General features: G+C 35.6%; 2 long non-coding RNA genes across 2 annotated transcripts in view; one reads left to right on the top strand and one right to left on the bottom strand.

The window, feature by feature from the left end:
- Positions 1–2280: 2280 nt before the first annotated feature.
- LOC105370769 (uncharacterized) lies at positions 2281–12084 on the bottom strand. The gene is made up of 4 exons (XR_932111.3): positions 11925–12084; positions 8894–8992; positions 6319–6394; positions 2281–5124 (listed from the first exon to the last, which is right to left on the bottom strand). It is a non-coding gene; the product is annotated as an uncharacterized LOC105370769 (long non-coding RNA).
- The window catches only part of LOC105370768 (uncharacterized), a 38329-nt gene continuing 37274 nt past the window's right edge, over positions 11406–12460 (top strand). Inside the window, exon 1 of the long non-coding RNA XR_932110.1 lies at positions 11406–11464. This is a non-coding gene — a long non-coding RNA (uncharacterized LOC105370768). The remainder of the gene's footprint in view (positions 11465–12460) is intronic.

The following is a 12460-nucleotide window of genomic DNA, read 5'->3' on the forward strand; positions in this document are numbered from 1 at the left end:
GCAGTGGGCTTTTGAAATCTTTTGTACAAAAATGAGGACAATAATTAGATACAAGATTTTATTTGGAATTTTTTCATGTTAGGAACGCTAAACATAATTATAAATGAAATTACATTGTTATATTCTAGGTAATGTAGTGTAAAATGGTCTATACTATAACTATGCTTATAATACTGAGGAAAACAAAGAGAAATTTCCTGAATCCAACCCATCCCTTTACGACATCTCCATGTTGCTCTTCCTTGCCAACAGGCTATGCACTTGTCCTCAGGCATCTAGCTAAGATAATGACACCCCCAGCGAGGCTTTCATAAGCATCCTCAGTCTAGGTTAGGGTCCCCTCCTAGATGTTCTCACAGTACCTAGACATAAACCTTTGTCTTTATATTCACTATGAAGCAGTGGGTGGTGGAGCACCATGGTAAAGAACATGGCTTTGGCCTCAGAAAAAGCTAGGTACAAATCTAGTGTCAGCCACCAACCAGATTGTTAGAATAAAGGAAATGATCTAAGTAAAGCATCTAGTGTGGTCTCTGACACATAGTAAATGTATCATAGTAACTAGTCTTTAAAAAATTTTTTTAAAGATCTCCGCTGTACTGTTTGCTCAGGACAGTAGAGAGTGATGTGTCTCCTACTAGATCCTGAGCTTTCTGCATGATCTAGCTCTATATCTCCAGGGCCTAGCACAGTGTCTGATGGACAGTGAGCACCCATATATGCATGTGTAATAGATGGATAGAACAATGAATCTGCAGCAAAGGAGTCTAAGCAATTTAAGAATAAAATAAGCAATCTGAAGCCAAAATGCCCCTCCTTCTTACATAGCACAGTGACAACTCCGAGGCACAAATGTTTAAATGCTTAGAACATAGTTCACTTTCAAAAACATATTAGCTATTTAGCTGTTATTAATCCCTGCATTGTTTTCTCTGAATCTTCAGTAGATTGTCAGATAGACACAGGTATCTGATTCCTCATCAAGAAATCCCCCGTAGGAAATCAAAAGTTGTCATAGCATGAAAATATTCACTGGTGAACTGAGCAATTGTAAAATTAGTAGCAACCCAAACTCCCCTCTGCAATTAATATAGTGCCTACCTTAATCCACAAAATCAACATCTTGATCAGTTATAATCCTGCTAACAATCTGATAGTTACAACTTCCCATGTAAATAGAAAAAAAACCTAAAAAGTTAAATTGAAAATCTTTTCAAAATGCAGGACTTCATACAATTTATTCAAGTGATATTAGAGACTTGCTCAAGTCACAGGCAAAGATTTTGTGGCTCCATCAAGGTCAGAAAATTGAAAATAGGGAAAATGAAAAAGATAATGAGATTCAAAAGGGAATAAGCTAAAAACCAAATAATTAGGAAAACTCATTTGAAAATTTAAAAAGCCATGGAATATCTTTGCACAATTGATTCTTTTTATGAGCATGATCTTCAAGTCAAGTACCCAGTGGAGAATTTAATACCCTAAAATTATGCTGGGAAGATAATTGAAAAAAATTAAGATTTGGCTAATTTTTCATTTGTTCTAAGGACTAGAGAATCGTTTTCATTGTTAAGCATTTTTTTTAATTTTTTTCATTATGTTCTATTTTATTTTTAGATAAAGCTCAACCAAAGCTTTCCATTTTCCACTATTGTCCACAAAAGGTTGGCTTCAATTTTGAATAGATTCACTCTAAGTGGCCTTTTCTGGTACCAGTCACACACTGATTTGAGAGAGAGGATTGTTCTTTGAAGTGGACACCACCAGCACTCCTCCTGCCACATTCCACTGTCCTCTTATGGCTTCCAGAGGACCCTAAGAAGCTAATGAGCCATCTTCTATTCCAGTTCATGGGCAATGCATGTTTTAAGGAGAAAAGCAGGGGGAGTTGTGCACAGAGATGTTAGCGAGGCAACTCTCTTCTCAAGAAGAGTTCCTCGGCATATTACAGTCCCCCTTTCTGGGAGCCCTTTCTTTCCAGAGAAACAAGATGATGGAAAGATATGAAACCTTCTGCACTGAGTATTTAATACACAGTGACTCCATAACTAAATCACATTCAGGGCCAGATACTGCAATGCTCCAAAGAGTCAACAAGAACCATGTCTTTCTGGACATAATATGTAGACTATTCCAGAATGCTTTAAATCCTCTCCCTTCTTTTTTTCTCTCCTTACATAACCATTGGTTGGAAAAGAAAAGAGAAAATTTATAAAACATTTTTAATTCATATTTCTCTCTTACGTTGAAATTACAAAATCACAAAAAGGAGAAATGCATAATACCAAACAGTTTATATTTTATTATAACATATTCAAGTTCAATATTCTTTGAAATGATTCTATGGTCTGTATTTTTTATCCAACGATATTTACTTTGTATCATTGGTAATTATGTACTACACATCCTGTGTTTTTCAACTGTGACAAGGTAAGTACTTTTGTTTCTATTTTAGTGATGCCTTTAAAGAAAAATTCAAATACATTCATCAGAATACCAAAGGTAATTTTTTTTCTCAAGCTCCCTGTCAAGATAGTTCAGCTCTAATTCAGGCAAATTCCTGACAGATATCAGAGTTCTATTTACTGATTATCTATTCTTCCCATTGGGATCATAAGATTTTAAGTGAAAAAATCTAAAAGATTTATTGCTAATGGCATTCTACAAATGTTATCTTTGTTCAGAGTAAAAGTAATATATGATCCTGGCTTTGTAGAGCATCTTTAATGTTCCTTTTTTGAATATGTATAACTCATTTAGAGACCAAGAATAGACAGTAACTCATCATTTTTCCTACCTGCCTTAAAATATCTGCATTTTGTCTGTTTGAAAATAATACAAACTTGTGATTTAATTGATGTCATAACTTCGATTCATCACCACATTCATTATAAACAAAGAGGCTCTGGATAATGAACAAAATGCTTATTGTTCACCAGAAGAAAGGGCATAACATGTTATATTTACATTTATGTCGTGTCTTATTACTAAGTCTGTATAAACCATCTCCCTTCATTATTTCTGAATGGGAGACTGATGATAAGTGCTGTTTTCAAGATTTTTTTAATCCTTTTTATTTGTCTAGCTAATTTGTGTGCTGAAGCATTGCAAAGCTAACTCTATGTTTTGCTCGTTAAGTTATTAGGGATTTGTAACTCCCGAAAATCAAGAATGAGTTCCTAAGTGTAACATTTGCATGGGTCGACAGCTTCAGGGGAGAGAGGTCAGCTGCCCCAGTGAAGGAAGAAGAAATCTGTCTGTACGATCCTAATTTGCTTTGAATAATAGACATTGGGCTTGGAATTGGAATGATTTGTTGTTAGGTTAAGCAACAGGGAAGCTTATGGCTTATTTTTACTCCTGATACAAGTGAAGCAATGGTTGAGTAATGAGACAGCCATAGATAATCATAATGATACTAGGCAATGAATTGTGTGTGCCTGGGCGATAGTGCAGGTTTATCAGACTATGATGGCCAATAAGCTATTACAAACTATAAATATTCAGATTAGTCAAATCTTTGTTACATCTTTCAATAGCTACTGGCATGTTTTTCCCCTCCCACTTTATAATTTTGGTGATTCTGACTCCAAGCCTTATCTAACAATTGAAGGAAGTTTAAATTCAAAGAAATGTATTGCATTGTAATAGAAAAATAAAAACGTGCCCAGTGACACCTAACAGTCATGTAATTAAAGCACAGACATTAACACTGGGTTTTTTGTTTCTGAGACACCTAGAAATGGATTCCTTATCTGGTACAAGTCTCTCCAATTTCCCCCCTTCCTCTTCCCCATCCCTCCCCACCCATTCCAGTGAACTTAGCTCACCCAAGATTTCTCATTTGCTGTGCTCTGTTCCTTGTTTAAACTAAAGAGAATACAGGATCAGTCTCCTTTTTTCCTCTACTATAAAGTCTCTTCAGAATCTAATTCAATGAGATTGTATTTGTTACAATGAACGCAGATTGTTCAATGGAACAGATTTAAGAAATGCTGAAAAGAGTTCAGGGGTTTGTAGGGTGGGGGCTAGCCTTATAGTGGGGGGAGTGCAGTTTTGTACATCACCCCATGTTTGTTAAGGTCTAAAAGCACTGAAAAGGATTTGTTCTGTTTATGTAAAGGGCCTCCGTGCTCTGGGTCTCTAAGATGTCATGCCAAGCTTTTTACCACATGAGCTTTCTCTTGATCTTGGGCTTGACATGACCAAAATGCAAGAGCTCAGGCTCTCAGGGACTGACCCACATTGTTGCTGCACTTCAGCCTCTAGGAGTGCGCTACCCAAACAATCAGCTTTCTGTAATTAACACATTATTATATTAATATGTGAACTTGGAAAATTGTTTCTACATATGGTATTATTTCAAATAACCATTTTGTTGACTGAATATTTTCACTTATTAAACCAATAATTATTAAAAGATCTGAGATTGCCCAGGAGAATGAAGATCCTTCATCACATAATGTAAGCTAAGCAGTCAGTTATTAGAGTCATTTACAATATTAATAGCCCTGAGCAGAAGTACAAACCATAGGTCTGTATACTCTGCTGCCGAATTTGCCAGTTACAAACTGGGGTTCTATTGCTTGACTCCATCTTTGCCATATGTTCTGTTATTGGAAATTCCATAAAATTTTATTTTGCTATCTTTTATGAAGCATAGACCAAAGAGCTTAAAGATATTTCATCAACCTAGAAAAAAATGCAATACTGTGAGAATACGTAGACACATGTATGTGTGTGCAGGTGAACAGGCTAATTTCAATGGGATACAACCAAGAATTTGTTTCCTTTTTCTCTACCACTATTTTAAGAAATTCTCTGTTAGACCTGCTTTCTGCTCTCTTGGAAAATACCTCAGGAAGTTTCCCTATAGCTTTTATATTGTCACTTTTGGGTATTAGAACAGTATTATTTTCAGATGTGAAAATATCCAATCCAATTTAAATCAAAACAAACCATTTCAAAGCACCTTTCCCTACCCCAGCATAAGCAACTGGCTTGCAACTAGAGAACCACAAATGGGTAAATGATTGCAGGGAGTGCTGTTTGTATCTGCTCTCTGCTTGCTACTTCTCCTCTTCTGTTTCTGGATCCTCCAAGGTTGGGGGCTGGTGGAGTACCCTGAGGAGGGTAGACAGAAAGGACAAAGTTTTTCTTGATTGGTGCTCATGTAAAAGTAAACTCTTTATCTCATGGACTGCTTTGAGGGATCTTTGGAGAGCTCCAGACTGGGACCTGTGCACTGTCCCCCACACTGCCTAAGTGACACATGCTCTGGCTAACTACTTTTGATTCTGCTCTAGCTTTTAAATTGGGGCTACATCCCTAGGGACTCCTGCCCCCATCAGGCATCACTCATGGGCAGGGCCTCTTCTAAAAGACTCTAGCCATCAAAAGTCAGATATCCACGTGGCCCCTAGGAAAGCTCATCACCAATGCCCCTCAAACTCTAAGAGTATACAAGCCGCTTTCACTGTGGCTGTCTCCTCAGGCTCTGCTTCCAATTCAGTGGCAGTCCTGGACCTGGGAGGTTCAGAAGGTCATAATATCCTAATTAGGGAATGATATGTCAGTCTTCTTTTCTCATGTCCATGCATTACAGCTATTTTACATGGCTGTGGGAAGCCAGGAACACCACCAGCTTTCTTTTACGACAAAGTGACAAATAACCCAATTTAAAAACTGGGCAAGAGATCTGAACAGACAGTTCTCCAAAGAAGACATACAAATGAATAATAAGTACATGAAAAGATTTATGACATCAGCAGCCATCTTGAAAATGCAAATCAAAACCACAATGAGATACCACTTTGCATTCAACAGAAGGGGTATCATCAATAGGACAAATAATAGCAAATGTTGACCAGGGTGTAGAACATGGGAATCTTCATACATTGATGGTGGGAGTGTAAAGTAATGCAGCCACTTTGGAAAACAGTCTGGGAGTTTCTCAAAAGGTTAAAGATAGAGTTACCATGTGATCAAAAAATTCCATGCCTAGACAGGGACCCCAGAGAAATGAAAATATATGTACACACAAAAACATGTACACAAATGTTCATAGCAGCAAGGTGATGGCTAAGGGGTGAGGAGCTTCTTTTCAGGGGTAATGAAATTGTTCTGAAATTGATTGTTGTGATGGTTGCACAACTGTGAATATATTAAAAGCCATTGAACCATGCACTATACATGGGTGAATTGTATAGTGTATAAATTGTATCTCAATCATGCTGTTAAAAATCATGTTCTCACTCTCTTCCTTTGAAAATTTGTAGAATTATTTTCTACAGACTAGAAGAGAAAAGCTAGTCTTACGCAGATGTCTTGCACCTTTCCTTAGAATGTGCAGCACTTATCTCTGATTTCTTCAGCTTTTTGGTCCCCACCAAGACTGCAAGACAGAAAGAAAATCCCATTTAACAATCTGTTAAATTAACAAGAGTCTAAAACATTACTCAGAACATTTCATTTGTCTTTTCTTCATGCTCCAATTTCAGGGTAATGATTAAACATCCAAACTTTGCAGAATCGTACATATATTTCATAGGCTGCATTATCCTCCCAAGTGATTCAGTTTTCCATAACTCTCCTGGTTATGTATTTCAATTAAAAGAATAAGTATACTCTAATAATAAACTCAATAAAAATTTGGTAACCACCCAACTGACTATTCTATTAAGAATATCATTTGTTATTTCAGGAATGCCTGCATACTTATTCTTAAACAGTCCTGGGAGGTAAGTATTGTTAAATAATCATATTATAGATTTAACATTTTACAGATTATTTAAGGAAATTAATTTAAGATTTAGGAATTTAAGGAAAAAATTTAAGATTATTTACAGATTATTTAAGGAAACTGAAGGTCAGAATGGCTAAGAAATTTATGCAAAATAAATCAGTTAACTTGTGTCTGAAACAGCTTAAACAGCCTGTGTTCCGCACACGAAACTTCAGTGCATTTCGCCACCTTGGGATTACCTTCTATAAAGATTAATCCACATGCAAGTCAAAGTCAATGTTGCTTCAAAGAAAATTAAAGTGTGTTTTCTTTATAAATAAGATTATTGAAACAAAAGTCATAATTGCTGTTTTTAAACAAATAATTTAAACTTCTACCTATTTCCTCATTTGTAAAATACAGTATTCTGCCTATAGTTTCAAGTCCACTTCAGTTCCAAGTAACCTGTGCCTACTGAGTTATTTGTTCTTTTAGAAGTGCTGCCTTCTTTTATCTTCCATCCTCCCATTCTGTTTTCTCCTGGACTTTACTAAGGAAAATATGACCAAATCATGGTATTAAAGTGTGTCATGGACTATGCAACTGCAGAGTGAATTAAATTAAATTAATGTATATCAATTAAATTAGCCCATCATTCACAAATATGAACGGATGATCAGGGAGCAACAAACATTTGGGGAAAGTCAATGGTGTAAAGGAGAAGGACGAAATTAACAAACAAAATTCTGACCTTTGAAGAGATGGAAAACTCACTTTTCTTTTTTCTTTTTGAGACAGGGTCTTGCTCTGTCACCCAGGCTAGAGTACAGCGGTATGATCAGGACTCACTGCAATCTTAACCTCTAGGGCTCAAACAATCCTCCCACCTCAGCTTCCTTAGTAGCTGGGACTACAGGTGCTCACCACCACGCCTGGCTGTTTTTTTAAAAAATTTTGTACATACAGAGTCTTACTGTGTTGCCTAGCCTGGTCTTGATCCCCTGGGCTCAGGTGATCCTCCCACCTAGGCCTCCCAAAGTACTGGGATTACAGGCATGAGCCACCATGCCCAGCCCAAAAAATACTTTTTAAAATTTCTAATTAATTTTCTCAGAGAGACTAAAGAAGCTAAGATATGCATAAAATTCAAATGGGCCACAATAAGAAAAGAGCAATAGAAGATATTGCATTATTGTAGACATTAAAAAGATTAAAAATATGAATGACAGACTAGAAACTTTAGCATCACACTAAATAATACAAGAATGCCAATAAAACAAATTGGTAATCAAGAGTACAGAGTTGAGGGAATTTCCTAGACAAACAGCAAAAATAAAAAAGATAGAAAATATGAGTAAAATGTTAAGAGATGTAGACATCCAACATCTATCTAACAAGATCTAACAAGCAATTGAAAGGCAAAGAAGAGCAAAGCGGTGACTAAAATAACTTTTAAAAAGATAAGAATTTAAAAAACAAGAATTTTAAAAAGAAAGAATTAAAAAAAAAAAAAAAGATTAAAAGGCCAGGCTCAGTGGAGTGGCTCACGCCTGTAATCCCAGCACTTTGAGAGGCCGAGGGGGGCAGATCACTTGAGGTCAGGACTTCAAGACTAGCTTGGCCAATACGGTGAAACCCCATCTCTACTAAAAATACAAAAATTAGCTGGACTTGGTGGCGGGTGCCTGTAGTCCCAGCTACTTGGGACTACAGGAGGCAGGAGAATCACTTGAATCCAGGAGGTAGAGGTTGCAGTGAGTCAAGATCGCACCACTGCACTCCAGCCTGGGCAACAAAGAGAGGGACCATCTAAAAAACAAAAACAAAAACAAAACAAAAAATCAAGATTAGCACAAAAGACAATAATTGAAATTACCTTTGAATGCTACAAAACAATGGAGCAATTCTTCCTCTAACAAACTGACAAGAAACCATTTGAACCTATACTTTTCAAGTGTAAAAGCAAAAACGTTATCAATCAGACAAGACTCAGAAAACTTATCACTCAAGCCACTCTCATAAAAACCATTCATTAAGAAGGATGTCCAAGAAAAATTAAAAGGAATACAAGCTAGATGATGACTTAAGATAAAAGGAAACACTATCAACTGAATATGAATGAGAGGAAGTGAAGAAAGTTCAAAAAATTTAAATAGATATCTGACATACCTTCATATATTATGCTAGGAAAATTTTCCTTAAAAGGGGTTTAGCAATTTCAGGTTCATTATACTTCTTCTTCTGTGGATCTATTTACACTATTTGATTCTGTAATAAATAACATTCACATAATCATAATATTATAAAGCCTATTTTATTAATTATAAAATTTTAGACTCAGAAAGAAAATATGAAGTCTCAGTTACAGTTAATTTTAATTATATAATGGAATGTAAATGTCTTAAAACCTGAAAAGGTAAAGATAATAATATAACCAAAACATCAACAAAAATCACATATCATTAGATATTGCCTAAGGTTACTAAATCATAAAACACATTCTTTAATGTCATAAAGATAATATTATAATACAAATTAGCAGAAATCAAGCCTAGAGATAAAAATGTACTGATGAGAAGTCATAAGGTGTTTCTGAAGTTGATATAGCTAGAAAGAAATCAATAACATTTAGTATTTACATTTACAAGAGTAACTATCAGAATAATTGAAAAATAAAAACCGTTAAAGCTGCTTATCTCAGTACAGAAAAGGGGATTTGTCCTTTCTGTTTTAAACCTTTCTACATGGGCTGAATTTTCATTAACTAGTCCAGGTATTACTTTAAAATTTTAATACATTTAACATATTTCCATGCATAAAAATGTATAACAGACATACACCCAAATATTAATACCAATTCTCTCTGGGTAGGAGAAATTCCAGATGATTTTTTTCCTCATGTTTTCACATTTTGTTAGTTTTCAAATGTCCGTGCACAATACTTTCTCATTCAAGCCATAAACTAAATTTTTAAGTATTTGATAGAGCCATCTAAAATAATTTTGAAAATGCAAAATAATTAAAATTTTATAATTTTAACCTGCATTTTAAAGGTCATAATGGGATGAAATCAGGATAAAATATACAATTCCTCCAAGAATTTACCTGTTTACCCATTTTCTAACTCTGCAGCAAGAGAAAATGTCTCTTTCCACTATAGAAGTAATAACGCTAATAGCTAGTAACAGCCCTGACTGCTCAAGTTTTTCACTAAATGTCTGTGCTTGGTGATTCTTGTAAGTCCCAGTTCTTGTCCTCCACTTTTTATACTAAAAAATCAGATTTCCAAGCTCATTCAAAAGTGATAGCATTCTGAGTGGCCGATTTTCATGAACCTAGCCCTAGAAATTAAAAGATTATCTAAAAGTTCACTAAAACACCCTCAGAAATAGAACCAGCAAGATTTCCATAAACAGAGCCAAGTACACTCTCCCTGAATAGTCTTGGAGACACCTTGATGAGGATAACAAAGGTAAGTCATTATTGAGTATCCCACATGCCTAAATTATGCATCAAATTCTTCTTTGCCTTTTAAAAATTTTATTCTTAATATCCCCTTTTCATTTATTATCTCCTCTCATTTTGTCAGTAATACTTCCTTGACATACTGTTAAAATTCAATTATCTAGTTTGTTTACTTTAGTCCTTATTACAACTAGTAGATCCCTGCTGGATTTAAGGAAAGTTTATGGGGGCAGGTGTAGTGAGTGGATGGAGGATACAACCAATTAAGATAAGAAGAGCACATGTACCCTAGAACTTAAAGTATAATAACTAAAAAAAAAAAAGAAGAGCACATTTCAGCATCACAGTATATATACGGTGTGTGCCCCACTTGCAGATTACTGACCGCAGCCATTTCATCTCAGTTCTTTTTCATTTGCATTACAAACAGATGCAATTTCAAATCTTGCCCTAAGAGTCTAGGTGTTCCTGAAACCTAGAGCTCAGACTGGCCTAACAGTGGCTATGAAAAACAATCAATGGATATCCTGCCCCGAGACCAGAATGTATGTTTTGAAAAGTATAAGTGCTGTCCATCTGCAAGAACATTTTTGTTATTGTTGTTGTCATGTCCAATTGACTGTGATGGGAGAATCTAGTTCATTATTAAAAGCAGAAAAGAATCGCTTGCATGACTATGGATAGATCTGTCAGCTAAGAACAATGTGTGGTAGCCCTTTCTGCAGGGAGACTGACAGTAACTTCAAAAACATACACTGAATTATCTAATGGAGTTTTTCCATCCTTAAATTCTGTGAAAAGATATTAAATACCATTAATTCATTAAAGAAATGTCTGGTGGTTTTTATGAACGCTCATGAATATTTCATAAAGTGATTAAACTTGTTAATCTTGCTCCCAATTAATTTTCAGTAATTCTTAGAACACACAAGTAAATAATAGGTAATTATAATGTCTTACTATGTGTCATTTATATAACTTAGGCCATTAAAATTGCATTTCTGATGTGATACATTTCTTAGGGCCCTATGTCTTTGTGTTTTTAAGCAAAATTCATTTTTCCTTTTTTTGAGACTGCATTAATTTTGAGGGGATTTTGAGAGGAAATGTTGAGGGTCCTCTAAGAAGAGGAAGAATAGATTCTAAGAGTGCAAAGAGGGGCTCCTCTATGAAGTAGCATTACCAAAGTTCTAGATTTTTCTCTTCCACCAATCTGATGAGGTGGTATTCAGTATTTAATTAAGAAAACTATCACCTGTGGAATTAGATGCACAGGTAATTCTGCCCATTTTTCTTTCTTTCCTCATGCTTTAGCTTTTCATTATGCTTGACTACCAAATGGAGAAAAAAAGGAACTTAAATTTGGAGGCAATTTAGAATAATGGAAAGTTCACAGAGTCAAAAAGAACCAGCTTGAAGGGATCATGACTCCCAAGCTGGGTTGTCTTGGGCAAATTACTTATCTGTCTGAATTTCAGTCCCTTTACCTGTAAAATTTTGAAAATAAAACTCTCCCTACCTACTTTACAATATTTTTTTGAGAAATTAGTTAAATCATATATTAAAGACATTTGGTAAAATGCTCTGCAGATTATCCCAGGTATGCTAAGCAAATAGGTAATTCTGAGAAACTTACTTCAACATTTTTATCCTGGGCCTTCGTTTCCTAATGCCTAAAGAGAAAATTAAAACTCCCTAATTTGAAACCAATTTATTTTTATGGTGATCTACTTACCTATTTCTGACCTCTTCTTTAACTTTCAATTCATGGATAATTTCTTACAAGTTCAGATGGTCCAGGACTTGGAGACAAATAGGGGATGAGAAAGGTAGACCAAATGTCATGGCGTGTTCTGTGGCCTTTGTGTCTCATGGCATCTGGTAGAGATTTCTGTACTTGGACATCCCCCGAAACACATTTTAAGCTCAGTCTTGAGCCACAGGGCTTACATCCTAAATACCCATCACTTCCAAAGAAATGTTTTTGTCAGTAGCTTGACTGACTCTGAGGCGGATTGTTTCCATCATCAGTAGCCAAGTGAAGATCTGTTTTGCCTTTGCCTGTTGTGCTCTGTGAGCAAGAATTCCCAGTCTTTGACACAGGGAGGCATATTTATGACATTTGGCTTCTTTGTTCAACAGATTTTTCCTTTCTGTGTTTATGAGAGTTAGCATGAAACAGTGCTCTGATCTACTGGGTTCCTTTTCTTTGAAGCACTTTGTGTTCTTTGCATTTACTCTGGCCCTTGTTATGAGGAGCTAGAGGCATAG

The sequence above is a fragment of the Homo sapiens genome, chromosome 15 (assembly GCF_000001405.40).
Source record: "Homo sapiens chromosome 15, GRCh38.p14 Primary Assembly".
Classification (NCBI taxonomy): Eukaryota; Metazoa; Chordata; class Mammalia; order Primates; family Hominidae; genus Homo; species Homo sapiens.